Source organism: Homo sapiens, chromosome 6 (assembly GCF_000001405.40).
Source record: "Homo sapiens chromosome 6, GRCh38.p14 Primary Assembly".
In the NCBI taxonomy this organism is placed as follows: domain Eukaryota; kingdom Metazoa; phylum Chordata; class Mammalia; order Primates; family Hominidae; genus Homo; species Homo sapiens.
This window is the reverse complement of record NC_000006.12, coordinates 126,188,120-126,210,541: the sequence shown is the minus strand read 5'-3', so window position 1 is coordinate 126,210,541 and position 22,422 is coordinate 126,188,120. Positions and strand designations below refer to the sequence as shown.

General features: G+C 35.8%; 1 protein-coding gene across 24 annotated transcripts in view; it reads right to left on the bottom strand.

Annotated features, from left to right (window-relative positions):
* TRMT11 (tRNA methyltransferase 11) overlaps positions 1 to 22,422 on the bottom strand; it is a 285,804-nt gene that overhangs the window by 61,802 nt on the left and 201,580 nt on the right. For 11 of the 24 annotated variants that reach the window (XR_007059324.1, XR_007059325.1, XR_007059326.1 and 8 more), the window contains one exon: positions 8,411 to 22,422. This exon is cut by the window's right edge. The exons of 8 other annotated variants lie outside the window; for them this stretch is intronic. The gene's annotated coding sequence lies outside the window, so the exon portion shown is untranslated. Of the gene's footprint in view, positions 1 to 8,410 lie in introns of those variants that run through there. 5 more of the 24 variants (XR_007059299.1, XR_007059303.1, XR_007059312.1 and 2 more) reach the window with 2 other exon arrangements.

The following is a 22,422-nucleotide window of genomic DNA, read 5'->3' as shown; positions in this document are numbered from 1 at the left end:
AAACAACACCCATCTATTGTATCAAGTATCAATTTCCATGGGTCAGGAGTCCAGTCAGGGATAAACTGAGTTCTTTGTTCAGGGTTTTACATAGCTGCAATCAAAGTGTTGGCCAGAACTTCAATCTAATCTACAACTTAGGGTTCTCTTTGAAACTCACTGGTCGTTGAAATAATTTAGTTCTTTGTGGTCATAGGACTGAGACCCTCAGCTCCTGGAGGCTGCCTGCCATTTCCTGCCCTGTGACCCTCTTTAGAACATAGCGATTTACTTCTACAAGGTCAACAACAGTGCTTCCTGTCTCTCTCACTTTGAATCTCTCTAATTTTGAATTTCAAGACCCTCTTTTAAAGGCTCCACTTGATCTGGTCAGGCTCAACCAGCATGATCTCCCTTTTGATTAACAAAAAATCATCTTACTAGGGACCTAAGTCACATCTGCAAAATCCTTCCATCTTTGCTACTCAAAAGTTCCATCTGCACTAAAGAGAGAAATACACAGCATGTGTACATCACAGGATGGTAATCATGGGGGCCATCTTAGACTTCTGTTTACCACACACATCACAAAGTGAGGTATCTTAGAGAGAAAGTATAGAGTGAGAAGAGCGTAGAGCCTAAGAAAACAACTGTGAAGCATTCCAGTATTTAATAATGGGACAGAGATGACTGAGATTGATATAGAGAAGTGGAAGCTCTCTTATTTTTAATGTTTTCATAATTGAAAGCCTAATGTGCTTAATTATAATACACCAAAGTATTTTGTTTTTGTTTTTTTGTTGTTGTTGTTGTTTTGTTTTTGTTTCTTTTTTTGAGATGGAGTCTCGCCGCTGTCTCCCAGGCTGGAGTGCGGTGGCATGCGATCTCAGCTCACTGCAAGCTCCGCCTCCCAAGTTCACGCCATTCTCCTGCCTCAGCCTCCCGAGTAGCTGGGACTACAGGCGCCCGCCACCATGCCCAGCTATTTTTTTTTTTTTGTATTTTTAGTAGAGACGGGGTTTCACCGTGTTAGGCAGGATGGTCTCGATCTCCTGACCTTGTGATCCACCCACCTCGGCCTCCCAAAATGCTGGGATTACAGGAGTGAGCCACCGCGCCCGGCCTACACCAAAGTATTTTGAATAACTGATCTATTTCAGGCTTTGCAACCTTACAGAGAAATGTAATATGGCCTGAGAAGTTTATCAGTAGTTTAGACTCATAACTCTGTAGTTTCTAAATATAATAAAAGTTAGAAAAGACCTAGTAAAGCCTCCTTGTTTTATTAATGATGACACTAATCATAATGACTTTGCCAAAGTCGTTCCAGTCAGTGATCTCCTGACTCTGAAATCAGTATTGGCTTTTTTCTTTAAGTGTGTTCCATGAGATTAAAATTTGCTATGATGCTTTTTGCAGAAAATTACCATCTTTAAGATCTTTTTTCTCTAGTGCTCCAGGACTTCCCCTCAATAATTTCCTATATATAACTCATTCAAGAGGCCATAAACATTAGTGTATAAAACACTGTTCCACACTATGGCAAGCATATTGTCTCCATCTCTGCTGAAAATGCTTAAACTATGTTGTAAATTCTATTTTATTACAAGCATATTGTGTCCATTTCTGTTCAAACACTTGAACTGTGTTGTAAATTATATATATTAGTCTTCCCCTACCAGGCCTTTAGGCGTATGTGGGCACTCAATAGCTATTTGTTGTTCATCCACGGAGGACTGGAATGTTCATTGCCTTTGGAACCAAACAATAATATATTGGAGTCCAGCCTCCATTACACAACAACTATGTGATTGAGAAAGTTGTTTCTATGAATCGTTTTATCTGTTAAATATATATGACTATTGAATTCATAATATTTTGAGAATTTAATGAGATAACGGATGTAACATACCCCATAAACTACATAATCTTCAAGGTATTGTTCATTTTCTTTCCATTGCCTCTCAGTCCTTTCATCTATCCTTTTGTCATAGAGGTTCTTGTGAACTAAAAATAATAGAGCCATCCTATCTTTATTTACATTATATATGTTTTGGTTTTCACGTAAATCACTCAATTTTTTATTAAATAAGAGCCATCTCTTTTACTGAGTCTAAATCAATTTTTACTAGCCTATTTAACTCAATTGGAAGTGGAAAGAATAAATACTCAAAGGAAAGAGGAACTATACTGGGCAAACAATGACATCATGTCCACTACAGATATTAAACATCATCAGCAGTTAATATCAATAACTGCTATTCTCTTGCTGAGATTGTCTCCTAAGAATAGGATTTGAGGTAGGAAAAAATACCCCTTTAGAAACGTATATGAGAAGCTCCAAAAAGAGAGTAAGAGGAGCACATGTAGTTTGAACAGTCTCCCACTCCAGGTGATTTAGAAATCTACCCCCAAGTATGGGCTGCTTCCTCCTGATACCTTCCTGTTAGGATTGAGATCCCTAGATAAATGTTCTGATGCATTTTTCATTGCTATTCAATGCACGTTTAATATTTTTTCTTCTTTGCGGGTAAATCATTACTCACAAACAATCCTTTGTTTCTATTAAAATTAGTCTAAGCTGCTTTTCTTTTCCTAATGTTCAGTTTTAAATGGGCTGACCTCATTTACTTTTTGAGCCAGGCAGATTTATTTTTCTATTTCTTTAATCAATGTCTTTAGTTTTAAGCTTGAGTTCACTTTGTGCATTTTGTCTTGAGAATGTTCATGTTCAGTCAAAGTTGTGACAATAACTATGATTATTATATTTTATGTTTTTAGCCTTTTGGTGTCACATGCATAATGCACTTGCTGGCAAAAAGAGACATGTTTCAGTTGTTCTTCATTAATTCTGGTTCTTGTTTGCAATTGACTTTATACACCCTAACTACAGCGTGGCCATGAGATATAGCAGCCTCAGTGAGGCATCCCTCTATTTTACTGTTCTAAAGAAATGTGCATTGGATATTTAATAGGCCTCTTTCAGTTATAATCAGTAGACAACCAACTCAAACTGGCTTTACAAAAAGGGACATTTTGGCTACTAAGAGCTGGGAAACTCAAATATTTGAAATAAAGGCCAAAGAGAATTAAGACAACCCAGATCTTTGTGGTGTGAAACTAGTATCTCAATGCTTCTCTGCCTGCTCTTCTCTCTGCACCTACCCATCTCCCATCTCTGTTGGTCTTCCAGTAGTCTTATTCTCTCCCACTAAAATCAATATCATCTTGTTGCCTGATTTGTCTTCTACCAGCTCCATGATCCAGGGACAATACCCCTTCATATTCACCTCCAAACAAAACAATTCCTGGGAGACCTCTGTCTCAGGGTGGGTCACTTAACCTTCTCTGGACTAAATCATCTTAGACTGGGGAATGTGCCAATATGATTGGTCTTGTCTTGAGCCCTATGAATGTTGGGCAAAGAACCACAAAACAAAGCCCTACCAGAATCATTCAATTCGAAGTGGAGAGAATAAATTCCCAAAGGAAAAAGGAACTATACTGGACAAATAATGACATCATGTCCACTAGAGATATTAAACATCATGAATGTAAGAGTTAACTTTCAATTATGTGGCATGAGGACTTCAAACTTCTTCTGCCAAAAAGAAATAGAAACAAGGATACTTGGCTAAAAGATACTGCTTTAATTTATACTTTGTTTATTCAAAGGAAAAATTCCCACCTTGTTGCATTCAAGAAAAGAGTGTAGGTGTTTTCCAAAGCAAAACAGTTTAATTCAGTTATGTTAAATTAAGGTGAATTTCCCTTAAAGAAATGATTAATGATCACATATTCTCTGACTGACAAAGTAACCAGAAGATAAGTATGTTTTGAAGGAAGTCAATCCTTTATCACAGAGACCAAATCCAAGGGAGGCTTAAAGAGTTGTATGAGTTATTATGAGTTCTGAACTAGCAGCACTCAATAAATAACCCATGACAGACTAAAATTAGCATCTCCACCAATGATGTGAACAAACATATGAAGTGTTTTTGTATTAAATGTTTTTATATTGTATTGCAAGGCTGAAAGATATAGAGAATAACATTAACTAGATAACTAAACAGTGCTTGTGCTGTGAACTAAAGTGGAGCAACCTAACCCTTGCTACTCAAAGTGTGGTCCATAGACCGACAAAGATTGACATAACCGGGGAACTTGTTAGAAATACAGAATCTGTGGCCCCACCTCAAACTTACTAAAACAGAATCTTTTAACAAGATCCCTAAGATCTTGTTAAAATGAGATACACCAAAGACAAGATCCCCATAGACATTAAAGTTTGAGATGCACTGTCCTAGATTAAGTCTATGAAAGCAACAACTCAAAAGCAGCCTAGGTTATTATGTCAAGCAATCTGGACTAAATGTAAATATAAAGAAATGGCTTTGGCCAAGCTGACAAAGAACAAGAATAGCATTTTCGAAGTTAGACTGCAGATTTTGAAAAGCAGAGTTCTAAACAGAAACAAATCCTAAAAAGAAAAACAGTGGCCATTATTACTAAGACAGTATGAGGACATTCCTACAAATTGGCAGCAGTAGCTTTGGCAGCCATATCTTTATATCGTCATAGGGGAATATAGAAAAGCTATATTCCTGTGTGTGTGTGCGCGCATGTGTGTGTGTGTGTGTGTGTGTGTGTGTGTGTGTGTGTGTACCCTCTCACATGTGCAGGCATATTTGAGCTTGTTGTCTGTGTGTTTGTCTGAGGTTTCCGCCATCTTTTTTTGCCTCTCCCACCCCTAGCTGCTAGATGTTCTCTATAACTGCCATCTTCTGGCACAATTTTTCCTTCAACTCCTCTTGCCAGAAAGAGAGATAAGAATACACAAGAAAAAAATGCTGAGAGTCTTCAATTAATACTTTGTTACACCCAAGGAAAGAACATAGATGTTTTCCAAATAAAAACACAATTTAATTGACTACAATTAAAATCAAAGTTATGTTAAGGTAAATTTTTCTTAATTTCCTTAATGTACAGTCATCTTTAAAATAACATGCTCTCTTTTCTTTTAAAATGCTTTTTAATTCTTTTTCTCTTTTTTATTTTTGAGATGGAGTCTCACTCTGTCACCCAGGCTAGAATGCAGTGGCACGAGCTCAGCTCACTGCAACCTCCACCTCCCAGGTTCAAGTAATTCTCCTGCCTCAGCCTCCTGAGTAGCTGGGATTACAGGCACTCGCCACCACGCCCAGCAAATTTTTGTATTTTTATTAGAGACGGGGGTTTCACCATGTTGGTCAGGCTGGTCTTGAACTCCTGACCTCGTGACCTGCCCACCTTGGCCTCCCAAAGTGCTGGGATTACAGGCGTGAGCCACTGCACCTGGCCTTAATTCTTTTTCTTTTTGCTTCTTTAGAGAGCAAGAAAATAAAAAGTGATTGAATTTTCCTATTCCATCTCCTCTCCCTATAAATGCACTTCTTTCAAACTTGTGCATCTGCTCAAATTTCAACTGGGATCTGAATATAATAGCCTGAAAATGTATTGCTGATTATAATAATTTCTACATTTTTACATTACAAACAAATATTTGCCAAACTTTCTCTGATGCCTCTAAATATTTTTAAAGGGCTGTATTGTACAGGCTGCATAAAAAGGGAAAAGGTCCTAGGTGTAAATATCTTGTAATGAATATTAACAAATCCCAAATCATAAAGATTCTATCAAAAGGCCAACAGGTTTAGGCAACTGGCTCTGCCCAATGTGCTGACTAATCCCTGGCTCAACAAGTGTTGCTATTGCTGTAGGCAAAGCTCTAATATATGATTTTGTGCATTAGTTAATACATAGTACTGCACAATGTTGGCAGAAGTCTCAGATAGACACAAAGAACTGTAATTCACCTCCATCAACACTCAAGGAAATGAAATCTCACCACCCCAAGACAAGTTTGGGTTCTTGCCAGTCTGTCATATTAAACTGTAATTGACCTATGGAATCAAGACCTAATAGAGGGGAACACATACATATAAGTACAGACAGGCTGATTTTATAAGTTTCAACCTTGCTGCTGCCCTCTGAAGCAAGAATCAGAGCTAAGCGGACTTGTCAGGATAGTCTATAGTGGTTGGAAGAATTGAAAGAACGCAGTACACAGGGATTCTAGTATATACAATACCTTCTCTCCCTCCATGGTGTGAGAGAGTCATAGCCTAACGGCAGAGAATCCGGTCCTGAATCTTTTTATCAAACTGGCAAGCAATGTAGCTCACAGATGGGGGCCTTGCCACTTCTCTCACACCTATATACAATAACAGCTGAGGTGATGCATTCTGCACCTGCCACAGTTTCTGGAGAAGTTTCAGAGGAAAGCCCAAGAACAGTAAATTATAGTTGACTGTCCAGAAGAAAATGAAGATGCTTATAATATCTGTAATGGGAAGAAAATAACATCCCATTGAATCTTTTTAACTTATAATTATTTCTTTAATGCCTATCGTTTTATTTAAAAAATGATGAAAAGCTGTAATACAGTTTTCTTGCACATGGAAACAAATCTTGCAAATGGTTGGTTGTTTTTTGCCTGGTTAGTTGGTTGTTCTTAACTGGTATAATTGCCCTACAAAGTCATTATTGAAAACAGAACACATTAATACACACACACACACACACACACACACACACACACACAAAATGATGATCCCACCTCCCAGAGATAACTACATTGTGTTGGACAGCTTTGTAAATTTTTATTTATGCATAGATTTTTTAATGAATCATTCTATACACAGAATATTCTAATATTATTTTTAATATGTAGTAGTACACACCTAAAATGTCATTTTAATGGCTGCCTGATATGCCATCAAGTAGATTATAATTTATTTAACTAATCACATTTAGATTATCTCCAATTTTTGACTATCACAAATAACATTATAATAAACATGCTTGTACGTAACAGCTTTGCATACTTTGTCCTGGGGCTGAATTGCTAAATTAACACAAATACATATTTCAAGGCTTTTGAGATACACTAGTACAAGCTGGCTTTGAAGTCATCTTTACTTATCACAATATAAAATGCTTTTCACTGCCCCCAAATTTATTGCACTCAATCTGCTGGTGACCAGGGTAGGCTGAAGTCATAAAACAGACTCCTGGTACATTTGGAGGATCTCAAATGGAAGGGTACAAATTTACTGATATTTCTGCTCAGTGTTTTGAATCTGTCTTCTACTTTTTAAGTGGTTGGAAAAAAATCTAAGTGGTCTCTTCCAACTTTGAAAATGTTATGAAAGATAAGTCCCATGCAGTAGACCAGCTGAGTAATTTGCAGGGCTCACTGCAAAATGAAAATGTGAAAAGATTAAATTGTTCAAAAATTACTGAGACTGTCAAGACAGCAACAGCAGAGCATTAAACAAAACATGGGGCCTTCTGAGCTCAGGGCCCTGTGCGACCACACAGCTCCCAGGTACAGAAAGTGGTGCTAGTCTCATGCTCACTCACAAGCTACCTGCCATGATTACTTGGTAAGCCACAGCCAGTTGTCAGACCTACTGCTTTATTTCTCAGAAATTCATACTTTGCTGAAGAGCAAGAAACACCCTTTATGCAACTGCTGATGTAACCATTTGTTACTTCCCACTATCTATATCCAACCACACTTTCCTTACACTTCATATAAAAGGGAAAAAAAATCATCCTAATTCTATAAATGAATGAGGTCATCAGCTGTCAGAGAACAGTTTAAATTTACAGCAAACACCGTCTTTGCTTAACCCAGCAAAGATGACGCCCCCATAGAAATCACATTGAAACAAAAACCTCATTCATGAAGGTTATTTTTCCAAATTCTTCAAGTTTGTGCATGTTTATAACTATCTGTTTTAACTCAGCCAACATATAAACTTTAATTTTTAAAGTTTTTTTTTAATTTGAAAAGCCTTGGTCTAGCTGTTAACATTGAATTAAAGAAATCAACACAAAACTAAAAGAAATCAGGCGATGGGCTGAAATTTGGCAACCAAAAGACATTTTATATTCAATCTCTCCCTTTTCTATTGCTTTTGGTTTGGTTTCTATGGAAATGTATATTTTCTGCAAGCCAAAGCTTTTTGTGGTCTTAGCTACAGGGGGAAAAGAAGTAGAAAGAAAGGCAGATAGGTAGTCAGAAGACATGTTGACTTAAAATATTTGTGAGGCACATGCAAGCCTTAGAAACTGGATGAAATTCTGACTAACCCATTGAGTTCTTAATAATCTTTACAAGTAAACCAGTTTGCTCCAAAATATGGGTACATCAACCTAAGAAACACAGAAAATATGTTTATGTTGGCAACAATATGTTAAGCCAGGCTTTGTATATAATGCTTATCTTTACTTTATCCATCAGACATTTATTATTATTATTAAACAGACCTTTATTGAGCACCTACTATATACCAGACACTGCATTATGTACCAGGGCTACATATGAGTTTAAGTTAGTTTATTTCTGTGGCTGGCAAAATGGTTAAACAATGTTATTTAATTCAGCATTTTACATACACGTATAGGGCATCTTCTCCGTGGTGGACTCTGGAGAATACAAACATAAAAATAAGTAAGACTAGACATATATGGTATTAAATTAATGGTGCAGGGGAACGTGAAGCAGTCATAATTATAATTTAATACAGTAGAATAACGCACCATTGAACAGGCTAGCAGTTTCCACAGATACATTCCACACAATTCAATGAAGAATATAAAAGTACTCTGAATTGGATTTTAATGATCAGAGGCCAAAAAGAAGTAATTGAGTCAGGTGAAAAATAAATATTAGAGAAAATGAGGAGAATGAAGGAGTAGACAAATAATTTAGAGGAAAATAAAAATAAAGAGAGAATGTAAGGAAAAAATATAGGAGAAGAGCAGAAAAGAAAAAAAGGAATAAGAAGAGCAGAACCAAGATATAAACCATCAATGTCAAATGCCTGAAGAAGTGGATGAGTGGAGAAGGATAGAGGGCTCTGTGAAATATCATTTGCACAAAAACAGGACAGCAGGCTTATTCTATAATTTAATGTGTCCATTGTGTAATTGATAGGATCCGGATCAATCCACAGGAGGGACATCTGTGGAAATGCTGTCCAGTTCTTGGAAGGCAATGGTCCCATATGGAGTATGTAGGATAAAACAGGCAGCATGCAGGATATACAAATGAAAGATTGTGTTCCATATAACTGCCAACTTTCACACCTTTGTTCTATCTAAGGAAAGCAATTTGTCCAAAGAGTGATGTAGAATTAAATCTGTGTCAATTTTTTTTCTATTTGGATTTTCTTTCTATGAGCAGAAACAAATTTCAAATGTAACATTTATTGTTTAAAATCAATGGCCAATATTCAAAACTGTTTCCGAAGCACTATCATGGCTATTCCAGATACATCAAAGCACTTCTCCATGGACCATGCAGTAACCAAGGAGACTGAATCAATAAACATATCATTTGTTAAAGATGCCAAGATTTCATATGGAATATGATATTGGCAGGGAGTACGCTTTGGATTGTCACTCAAATTTGCATTTAAAGCCATGTTAGCAGACAGATCTGCACAGCCTTTGTCTAAACACCCCCTATTCTAAATGCTTCAAAAATATTTGCACCCTTATCTAAAAATCATTGCCTCCATAGAAAGAACTACTTCTCCTAGTCAGAGAAATCAGGACAGGCCAATGATGAGTCAGCCTTTATTTATAAATGCATGTCGGGCCGGGCGCGGTGGGTCACGCCTGTAATCCCAGCACTTTGGGAGGCTAAGGCAGGCGGATCACAAGGTCAGGAGATTGAAACCATCCTGGCTAACACGGTGAAAACCTGTCTCTACTAAAAATAAAAAAATTAGCCAGGCGTGGTGGTAGGCGCCTGTAGTCCCAGCTACTTGGGAGGCTGAGGCAGGAGAATGTCGTGAACCCAAGAGGCGGAGCTTGCAGTGAGCCGAGATTGTGCCACTGCACTTCCAGCCTGGGCGACAGAGCAAGACTCCGTCTCAAAAACATAATAATAATAATGAATGCATGTTGGACTAGGATGGAGATTTAAACACTAAAGACTAGTATTTTATCACACGTTGCTTAGCAGTGAATTCATAACTAGGTATAAACTCCAGAGATTAAGATATTGAGTTATTTTTAACTTCTGACTTTGTATTTTAAAATAACGGTGGCATTTTCTAGATGAGAAGTAGGTAAATGCTAAGGCCAGAGAATGTTATGGTAATGATAGCCTTGCACCCAATGTATCTTTCCTACTTCATTTGATGTGGCCATTGCTTTCTTCAAGCTTCCAGGAGCCATCCTCAAAACCTGTTTTGGATATCTTCGAGGATCTTTGTCAGGATGTAAAATCCTCCACTGGGAGAGTATTTCCAACTTGATAAACTCTTTCTTGTCTAACTTTCTGTTCTTCTCTGTTTTCTGAATCTAGCACCTTCAGAATTCTGTCCCATTTATACTCTCATGACCCCTGCCCTTACAAGTTGGTTAGGCCCTGCAGCTTCTTCATTATCTAGTCCCATTCCTCCCTTAGCTGATTGCTCTTATCTCTGGACACCCTATATTGTTTCTCAACCACCTTATACATGTTACCCATCAGTGCATTGCATTTCATTAGTATTCCATCTTAGCGTAACATTAGTGAAAAATGTTAAGTTAGATCACTACCTGGTTCCAAGGTGTATCTGTTCTCCATCTATCACCACTGATGAGGTCTTCATTGCTAGGCAGGCTACAGGTGATCCAGGTCCAAAATTCTATCTTAGAATCTGCCTTCTTTAACCACATTATTTATTACCAACCAATGTAGCTTGGGATTCTAGGAAAACAGACTTCAAGACATACATTAGCATGTCCCTCTGCCACTACCGCTGCCACCATCACCACCCTTTGCTAGTTTTAGTTTCTCTTTTGGTTTACAGCAGATTTACAGTGACCAAATATATACAAGTGACAGTCACTGTTTTCACTGAAATAAAGTTTTAATTTGTGACAAACTAAATTCTATAATTTATAGTGCTAGCATTTGAATACTGACTTCAAGAGCCCTGGATGAGTCTAACACATTTGGACTCTGAAAGCTCAAGTTGTTCCAGCTTGGGAGGACAAAGTATGTGAACACTGGGGTGAATATCTAATCTTCGACCAAAGCAAACATGATCTTTTGGGAGATTCAAAGAGATGTCTGCAGAGCCTGAGCCTGAGATTGGAAGAAAAAAACAGACTAGAGCATCTTTTATTTAAATTCAAAATTGAAATGGAATGTTTGTTACCCTAAGTATACACATAGATGCTTCTGCCACAGTGGTTTTTGTATAAAGCAGGTGCTCATGACATCAGGTGATTCTGCGAGCATATTAGAAGTGTTTGTCCCTCAAGTCCTTTGTTGGCTTTGTGTTCACAGCTGTTATAGAAACTTTTCTCTGTTTAAGCCATTTTTACTTCCAGCTACACACCAATTATTTAATGGATGTCCAGTTATGTTAACATATTATAGAAAAACATTCTTTGTTCCTCCTCCTAGGACTCAAAGTACTTTAGTTATAGTCCTACCAGTATTATTGTCACTGGATCCAAAACAAACCTTTCAAACATGAGAGAGAGCAATAAATTGGAGGACAGAGATCAGGGGAGGCTCCCTTCATGGTCGTTTTAACTACACATCAAGGTTCTTGGAAGGTTGTGCTGCTTACATTTTGGAAGGAAATACTGCTGTGCTCTTCTCCCCCATGATGATGATTTGAAGCATTTACAGTAGAAATCCTTCACCCTGAAAATATACATAGAGTTTCTCAAAGAGAGAGAGGGCTCATGAAGGCAAGCAGTTATTTTTACCCTCTCACTACCCATAGTGCAAGACATTCTCACGTTTGCTGGATTTCTGTGGCAGCCTTTCAGACAAAGAAAGAAGAGCTTTTGTAAACTGAGATTAACTAAATAGTGTGGTCTAATCCCGTCTAGTTGGTGTTTATGCATGCTTCACTGTGGGATTTACAGCCTTAGCTCATGGAAAGACAGAATAAATGTAGTGAACACAAAGAATCCAGGCTTTGTGTTTCTGGAATTAGGATCAGGTTCAGGTGGGAATCCATCAGAAGATTTATCTGAAAATAAGATATGGAAATAGAGAGACAGAAGAAATCAAACTCTCTTAGCTTTCATGAAGACCCATTTAAAATTACCTTTAAAAAAGGAAAACACTCTTATATATATTCTATACAAGAATAAACACAATGACAAATTTGTTTGATAGACAGTAGTTCTTATGCTTGTTTTTTCCCTACAATGGTTTCCTCCATTTCTGACCCTAAGTTTCTGCCACCAGAAGTACCACACCAGTGTTAGAGATTTATTTTTTTGTCATGCATCTGGAAGATTCTTGGACTTATAACCCATCAGGCTTGTCAGTAAAGAGATGGCAGTAATTGACAGAGGGCAGTGACTGTGTCCTGAAAGGTTAAGAGTAGAATGTAAGCTATGTCTAAAATGTTCCCACCGAGTCCATTCTACTTTATTAAGCTGTTTCAAAGACTACATTCATTCTTTCCACTCCAGATCAAGTTGACTGATAAGGAGCTTTTATTATTTCTTCTCACCTGGATAAGAAAGGGTCTACTAGTTATGAGAGGTCTTTTTGTTAGATGGTATATGTCCTTTGTGTTCATGTTTTCCTTTGGTCCCTCACTGCCTCTTGGATTTTATCAGCTTTCACCTTGGGAGAGCTGAGGGCAGCTGGGGATCAGGATTGTGATAGCTTTAGCTGCACAAAAGTGGTGGGATATGACACTCAAAGGAACAAAGCCAAAATAAGAAAACCTCCATATTTGTGTCCTTATTGCATTCCTATCTCTTAGATGATCTTGTCAATGATATAACAAAGCTGATTTATGTGGAAGGAAAGGAAGAAGAACAAGTCTGCTTTGTACAATGCAGATATATAATGTATAATACGTAGTGAAAATAAAAGATAAGGAATCTGAGGAATATACAGAAATCTTTTATGGATTGAACTGGCCATCAGAAATTGCACTAATAACCTCCCATAAAGTGAAATAGTATGTAGCTTTTAAAATGTGTAATGATCAAGGATATTTAACAACATGGGAAAATGTTCCTATTATATGATTAAGTTAAAAATATGTTAGGAAAGAGATTATCAGCCTCTGGATAAAACATGGAAGACTGAACAATTCACTTATATTTGTTTCAACCTGAAATCCCATTGAAATTACAGAAAAAATTTTTTTCTAAGGCATAAATCCTAAAAGACGAAGCAAAAGGGAAAGGAAATGACGACCAGCTAGAGAAGTCAACAGATATTGGAAACTGGTAAGTGGTAAGTGGTAAGGAGCAATAACTGGCCAGATAAAGCAGAAGAAGTAGAAACACAAGCAACTGCAGAGGGAGTGACCAGAATCATTCAACTTTAATGTGTGTTAAATTAAATACATGTAAAGTTGATAAATAGGTAAGAATAAATAGACAACAGACAGACAGATGATAGATGAATGCTTTAGGCATCAAAAACTCAATTCAAAATAGTTTACACAGTGAACTTCAAAATTTTGGGGCTAGTGTATCTTCTCATTTTTTTTGAGAAACTATGTATCTTCTCATTTTAAGTTGATATCTAAAATTTTTTCTCATAAGTTTAAATATTTGTGAGGTAGATAATATCAGAAAATCATAAACCTTGTTTTTTAAAAAAAATTTTAATTCCCAGTTTTGAATTTAACAATGGAAATTTAATGGCATTACAGTTTTATGCCCATTGTCATGAATTTTTAAATGAAACTTAAAAGGTCTTATTTAATAGGTATTCCTTTTCTTCCTTGAACTTGTACTTCCATTATACCTTCCTCACAGCTATTCTAATGAAGTATGTACTTTTACGCTTGAAAATCCTTTACAGATATTCTGTCACACTTCTGTGCAATAAAAATATTTTTTAATTTTAAATTTAAAAATTAATTTTCTAGTATCATAAAACTCCAAGTAATCAAAATATCTTCTAGTTATGTCAAATACTATTAAAGAATTAGTCAAACTGCCAAAAAGTTGTAAATTATTAAAAATTATTAATAAAAAGAAAATTTTTATTGAAAATAATATTGTTAATCAGATAGATGAGGGATTGATTTTGATGCCCCAATTAAGGGAGCTTTCTTGATGTTATTTTACAACTTAGGTGATAAACCTTAGTGAAACAGAATAAGTGAGTGGTAGATCTTTCCTGTGTAAAGCGTAAAAGAAGCGATTATGAAAGAGGTGGGAAATGAGAACTGCCACAACCTCCTTGTTTCGTGTGTTTTCCAAAGGTCAATCAATTTTAGTACAGAGTACTTGTAGAAGTTGAGGATCTGGAAATTGATTTCTTTAAAGCTATTTATACCTATTTACCACCTGGATAGTTTTTGACTTTCCAGGGTACTAGCATGAAGTTTGAAAACCATTGGCTTAAATAACAAAGTATTTTATCTCACTGAGCCATATGAGCAGAGATAAACAGTTCTAAGGTTGGTTAATTCAGCAACCTAATGATGTCATCAAGGATTCAAGTTACTTGTAGCTTCCTGATTTGCCATTCTTAGTGCAAATAATTTTCTCTCAAGCTAGCCCAGCAGCCCTCATAGCCACAAGATGATAACTTTACTTGCAAACCACACAGAGACATGAAAATATCCAAAGAAAGAAAGAAAGAGGCCATCTCTTCCTGTGTGTATCTCTTAAAACAGTGAATCCTTTCCCTGAGCCACGAAGCTGACTTCCCTTCATGTCTCATTGGTCAGAATTGCATCACCTGCCTAAGCCAATCCCAAATAAGGGAAACAACCATGATTGGTTTAGACCAATCAAGAGTCACCCCCAGGGCTGATGAAGGGGTCAGCCTCTCCCTCCAAAGTACATGACTATGGGAAGGGGTAAGATGCCTGAACATACTTGAGATTCTGTAAGGAAGGATAAAGGAAGTCAGGGATGTACACTGAATAAACAACAATGTTTCCAGAAATACATATTTTTAAAGCCCAGACAGAAAAATGCCAGAATGTTTACATCTGTGAATGGTTTTTACACTTTTCCTTTTATTTATTTCTATTTAAATTTTGTTCCAAAGTCTGTAATAATAAACACAAGATGATTAAAAAACTGCCAAAATACTTAATATATGAGATTATCACTGAAAATATTTGGATAAAGGCAAGACAGCAATTTATGTGTGAACATAAGACAAGCAGAGATTATATTCATATTGCTTACGACTCATTTATCTTATTTTCATCATGATTTAAATATACTTTTACTAAATGTTCACTAAGAATCTTTTGCTTCCATTGAAAATAAAAACATGCCTTTTAAAAGAGGAAACACATTGTTCCAAAAGCCTGCTGTTGAAGCTTTGTGTAATCTGAATTATCTGAATCATAAAGTAATTAATTTTTACCAATAACTTTTATAACAGGGTCTCACTCTGCCTCCCAGGCTAGAATACAATGGTACAATCACAGTTCATTGCACCCTCAAACTCCTGGTTTCAAGCAATCCTCCTGCGTCAGCCTCCTGAGTAGCTGGGACAACAGGGGCATGCCACCACACCCAGCTAATTTTTTTTATTTTTTATAGAGATAGGGTCTCACTATGTTGCTCGGGCTGATCTCAAACTCTTGGGCTCAAGTAATCCTCCCTCCTCAGCCTCCCAAAGGGCTGAGATTAAAGGCATGAGCTACTATGCCCAACCTAGTTTTTAAGTACTGCAGGTGATAGGTAAATTAGGACCAATGCTCTATGACTATGCTTAAATTCTTTCTAATAACTAAAGTTTTGAAGACTTGGTATGAAGTATATTTCTACTCTTTTGAAAACAAAGCAAATAAGTTTGTTAATGTTGATTCACAAAGTTGAAAGGGACAGTGAAAAGTTGCCTAGTTAATGCCCCCACCGATATTTGGAACTAAATATGCCCAGAGAGTTAAGAACTATCTGAGTTTTTAAAGTCATTTAGAGCAGTTCCAAAGTTTGGTAGTCCATTCTAAGTTCTAAAACCATTACAATAAGATTGTATTAATGTATCTGTGAATCAGTGAACATTAGGGCGCGAAATTAATAAGGTCTTGTTGAGTGCACAAGGAGAAACAACTTCATAAAGAAATAATTGTCATATAAATGGTCAGTAGTGTGTACCATCAGTGAAATGGAAAGGAGCACAAAGAGGAGAATAAACATGTATTCATCCAATACCGAAGAACTCAAACATATAAAGCACATATTAAGAGATCTAAAGGGAGAGATAGGCTGCAATATAATAATAGTAGGGGACTTCAATACCCCATCTTAAGCAATGGAATGGACAGAACACTTATGCAGAAAATCCACAAACATCAGAGTTAAACTATACTCTAGATCAAATAGACCTAACATACATTTACAGACCACTTCATCCAACTTCTCTTCAGCACATGGAACATTCTCCAGGATGGACCATATATTAGGTCAAAAAGCAAGTCTCAACAAATTTTTTAAAGTCTAAACCATATGAAGTATCTTTTCTGACCACAAAAGAATAAAACTAAAAAGCTAGAGGAACTTTGGAAATAATACAAACACATGGAAATTAAACAACATGTTCCTGAACATCTAATGGGTCAATGAAGAAATTATAAGGAAAATTTAAATTTTTTGAATAAAATTCAAATGAAACACAACATACTGTACCATGAAATACAGCAAAAGGGGCACTAAGAGGAAATATTATAGTGATGGAGGTCTACATCAAAAACACAGAAACGCGGCCGGGCATGGTGACTCACGCCAGCACTTTGGGAGGCTGAGGCGGGCGGATCACGAGGTCAGGAGATCAAGAACATCCTGGCTAGAATGGTGAAACCCCGTCTCTACTAAAAAATAGAAAAAATTAGCCAGGCGTGGTGGCGGGCTCCTGTGGTCCCAGCTACTCGGGAGGCTGAGGCAGGAGAATGGCGTGAACCTGGGAGGCGAAGCTTGCAGTGAGCCAGGATTGCCTGCACTCCAGCCTGGGTGACAGAGTGAGACTGTGTCTCAAAAAAAAAAAAAAAAAAAAAAAATACAGAAACGCTCCTCTTAAATAACCTAACAATGCACTTAAAAGAACTAGAAAAGCAAGAATAAAGCAAATAATGGTTAGTAGAAGGAAAGAAATATTAGAGATCAGAGCAGAAATAAATAAAAATGACACTTAAAAAATATAAACAAAATAATAAACCTTTAGTTAGACTAAGAAAAAAGAGAGAAGACCCAAATACATAAAATCAGAGATGAAAAAGGAAACATTACAACAGTTACCATAGAAATACAAAGGATCATTAGAGACTATAATAAACAGCTAGATGTCAATAAATTGGAAAACCTAAAATAAATGTAAAAAATACAACCTACCAGGATTAAACCAGGAAGAAAATGGAAAAACCTAACCAGACCAATATTGAGTAATGAGACTGAAGTAGTAATAAAAAGTCTCCCATCAAAGAAAGCCCAGAACATGACGAATTCACTGCTGAATTTTACCAGGCATTTAAGAAAGAACTAATACCAATTCTACTAACCTATTTCAAAAAAAAGTTGAAGAGGAGGGAATACTCACAAACACATTCTACAAGGCATGCATTATGCTACACAAAAACAAGACAAGGACATACAAACAAAAATAAAACTATACGCCAATATACCTGATAAATGTAGATCCAAAAATTCTCAACAAAATATTAGCAAACACATTAATGAGATAATTTACCATGATCAAGTGGGATTTCTCCCAGGGATGCAAGCATGGTTCAACATAATCAAATCAATAAACATGATACATCATATCAACAGAAACAAGGGCAAAAAAACATATGATCATTATGTTGATATTGAAAAATTATTTGATAAAACTCAACATCCCTTTACAATAAAAACTTTTGACAAATTGGATATAAAAGGAGCATACCTCAACCCAATGAAAGCCATATATGACAATCCCACAGCTAATCTCATACTGAAAAGGGAAAAACTGAGAGCCTTTTAAGTAAGATCTCAAAAAAGACAAGGATGCCCACTTTCAACACTTTTATTCAATGTAGTACTAGAAGTCTTAGCCAAGAGCAGTTAGGCAAGAGAAAGGAAAAGAAGGCATTCAAATGGGAAAGAAAGAAGTCAAATCATTCTTGTTTGCATAAGACATGATCTTATATTTATAAAAACCTAAAGCCTTCACCAAAAAACTCTTAGAATTGCTAACCCATTTTAGTAAAATTGCAAGATACGAAATCAACATACAAAAATCAATAGTTTCTATTTGTTAACTATGATTAATCTGAAAAAAAATTAAGAAAGCAATCTCATTTGTGATAGCTATAAAAAATACAATGCCTAGGAATACATTTAACCAGATAAGTGAAAGGTCTCTTCAAGAAAAGCTATAAAACACTGATGAAAGAAATTAGAGGACACCAAAATATGGAAAGATATCCTGTGTTCATGGATTGGGATAATTAATACTGTTAAAATGTCTATACTTCTCAAAATAGTCTACAGATTCAGTACAATTTTTGTCAAATTACCAATGAAAGTCATCACAGAAATAGAAAAAAACTTCTAAAATTCATACAGTACAGAACCACAGAAGAATCCAAATAAAAAAGCAATTCTGAGGAAAAAGAACAAAGCTGGAATAATCACACTACCTGTTTTCAAATTATATTACAAAGCTGTAATAACCAAAACAGCATGGTGCTGGCATAAAAACAGACACATAAAACAATGGAACAGATTAGAGAACCCAGAGATACATCGTACACTTATAGACAACTCATTTTTGACAAAAGTACCAAGAACATACATTGTAGAAAATACAGTTTCTTTAATAAATGGTTCTGGGAAAATTAGATATCTACATGCAGAAGAAGGAACTAAATACCCATCTTATACAATATACAAAAATCAACACAAATTAGATTAAAGATTTAAATGTAAGACCTGAAACTATAATATGATTAAAAGAAAACATTGGGGAAATGCTAGGCAAAGATTTTGAGGGCAGGGCAAGATCTCAAAAGCACAGCTACAAAAGCAAAAAAAAAAAAAAAAAAAGACAAGTAGGATTACATCAAGCTAAAATCTCCTGAACAACAAGGGAAATAACTAACATAATGAAGAGATAGCTTATAGAATCGGAGAAAATGTTTGTAAGCTAGCTATCTATCAAGGGGTTAATAACCAGAATATATGAGGAACTCAATTCAATAGCTAAAAAGAAAAAAAACTAGTAATCTGATTTTAAAATACACAAAAGATCTGAATAGACATTTCTCAAAAGAAGACATATAAATGGCCAACAAGTATATGAAAAAGTGCTCAACATGACTAGTCATAAAGAAAATGCAAATCAAAACCATAAGGAGATATCATCACACCTCAGTTAAAATGGCTACTATCAAAAAGGCAAAAAAAATAACAAATGCTGGTGAGGATGTAGAGAAAAGTTAATGGTCATACAGTGGATGGTGTGAATGTAAAGTAGTACAGCCATCATGGAAAACAGTATGGAGGTTCCTCAAATAATTAAAAATAGAACTATCCTATGATCCAGCACTGCTAGGTATATATTCAAAAGAAAGGAAATAAGTATGTTGAAGAGATATCTGCACTCCTGTGTCTATTGCAGCACTATTTACATTAGCAAAAATATGGACTCTTCCTAAGTGTCCATCAGTGGATGAATGCATTAAGAAAATGTGGTATGTAGACACAATAGGATATTATTTAGTCATAAAAAAGAATGAAATCCTGTCATTTTTAGCAACATGGAGGGAACTGTGGGTCATAATGTCAGGTGAAATAAACCAGGCACAGAAAGTCAAATATTACATGTTCTCACTCATAGGTGGGAGTTTAAAAAGTAGATCTCATGGAGGTGGAGACTGAAATCATGGTAAACAGAGGCTGGGAAGGTGTATTCGTCCATTATCACACTGCTATAAAGAATACTACCTGAGACTGGGTAATTATAAAGGAAGGAGGTTTAATTGACTCGTAGTTCTGCAGGCTTAACAGAAAGCATGGATGGGAGGCCTCAGGAAACTTACAGTCATGGTGGAAGGTGAAGGGGAAGCAGGTACCTTCTTCACAATGCATCAAGAGGGAGTGTGTGCAAGAACAATGAAGTGCCCCTCTTTAAAACCATCAGCTCTCATGAGAACTCACTCCCTATCTCGAGAACAGCATGGGAGAAACAGCCCCCATTATCCAATCACCTCCCACCTGGTCCCTCCCCTGACATGTGGGGATTACAATTCAAGATGTGATTTGGGTTGGAACACAGAGCCAAACCACATCAGAAGGAAAAGGGGAAAGCGGGTAGATGAAGTGAAGCTAGTTAATGGGTACAAAAACGCAGTTAGAAAAAACAAATTCTAGTATTTGATAGTACAGTAGGAAAATTATAGTTAATAATCTATTGTATATTTCAAAATAGCTAAAAAAGAAGAAATTATAATGTTTCCAACACAAAGAAAAGATAAATGTTTGAGGTGATGTATATCTCAATTACCCAGATTTGATCATTACTCATTGTATATATGTATGAAAATATTATATGTATGAAAATATTATATGTAACCCAAAAATATGTACCACTATGATATATTTAAAAATACAAAAGAATCAAAGAATAAAAGGGCTTGTAATGAAAATATTTTTCTTCTGAAATAAATAACTTTTTAAAAACAATGACTGTTTTGAGATATAAACAGAAACTTGGGATTACTACATGTTAAAGTACTATATTTACACTTATCTTGTAAAAATGTCCAGTATGCTACCTTATTACTAAGCCAAAAGTAACCTGAGTACCGCAGCCCCAACCAACAATAAAATAAAACCCAAAGAACTAATGACATGTACTATAGGCAAAGTGAAACCTATTTTTATGTTTATTGGCCATAACAGGAATTGAAACCTCAGAACCTGAGGTGCTCCATTTTCCTTAACCCTAAGGGAAGGAATTAAGTAACAATTTTCCCATTTTCTATAAAATTTTATTGGGAAACATAAAAGAGGATTTGAATGTTCATGGATTTAATTTTTTTAAATGCAAGATATTTTTGCCTATAAAATTGGCAAAGATTAGAAAGAGATAGTACCCCAACCTTCTTTAGAATTGGGGGCTACAACTCTGATTCTTATCAGAAGAAGGATTTTAGTTAATAATATGAGCTGCAATTTAGTGAATACCTACAATATGTGAAGCACTGTCTTGAACACCTTTTAAATGAAACTCATTTAACCTCACCACTGCCCATTAAGTCTGGCATCATTATACAGAAGGAAACTGAGGCCCACAGAGGGTAAGCAATTATCCTGCATTTAAGTCATTGAAGTACTTGGTAAATAAAAGATCAGTACAGGGGTCTGTCTGACCCCACAGTCCAACTCTTAACCCCTTCGCCAAATCCCTTAAAGGCTCTGCTTTCAGTCTGTGACAGAAATTAGAACCAACCCTTCTCCCAATCCACAAAATAAATAAAATGAGAGTCTATAACCTCCTATGATTTTTTTTTCAATTAGGAGATAGTCATTGCTTTTACCCTTTTCTTTTCATGTTTAAAATGTACTTCCTCCAGACAGAACAGCTGGCTGATTTGAATATAATAGCTATATGTATTTAATGCATTTCCTCAACTGTAAAATGTACCATTGATTTAATAAAAAGTCCTTGGTAAGAAGATCAATCAGTTGTCAGATTTATTTTGAAATTGGTTGTAAGACAATACATGTGTTTGGGATTCAAGAAAATGTGATAAACAACAGTAACTATATAGTGGCTGACTTAACAAGGCTTTAATTTGCAAACTTGTCTACATGCTCTTTGAAGGTACGAACAACTTTGTTTCACCCATTATGAACTATAAATACATAATTGTTGGGTAATTGCATGGATGAATAACATTTTCCAGAAACAATTTTATCACATAAATCAAATCACTTTGAATAGAATTTAACATGAACAGAAATTGAAACTCATTTCACAATAGCACTGATCTGATTCCAGTTGCTCCATAACCTTACTAACTTTGAAAATTGCCAGACATTGTTTATTTTAGCCATTCTAGTGGGTATGGAATGTTATCTTGTGGTTTTCAATTGCATTTTCTTGAGTACTATGATGTTGAATCCATTTTTATGTGTTTAATTTTTATCATTCAGTTATTTTCTTTTTGAAGTTCTTGTTCAAATCTTTTGCCCATTTTTTATGGATTTGATTTTTATTGTCAATTTGTAGGAAATCTTTATCTATTCTAGATGTGAATCTTGTCAAATATAAGCATCGTGAATATTTTCTCCCAATTCATGGTTCACTTCTCAGTTCTTTTTTGTTTTCTTGGGATATGGGGGGTTGATGATATCTTCTAATAAGTAGATTATTAATTTTGATAA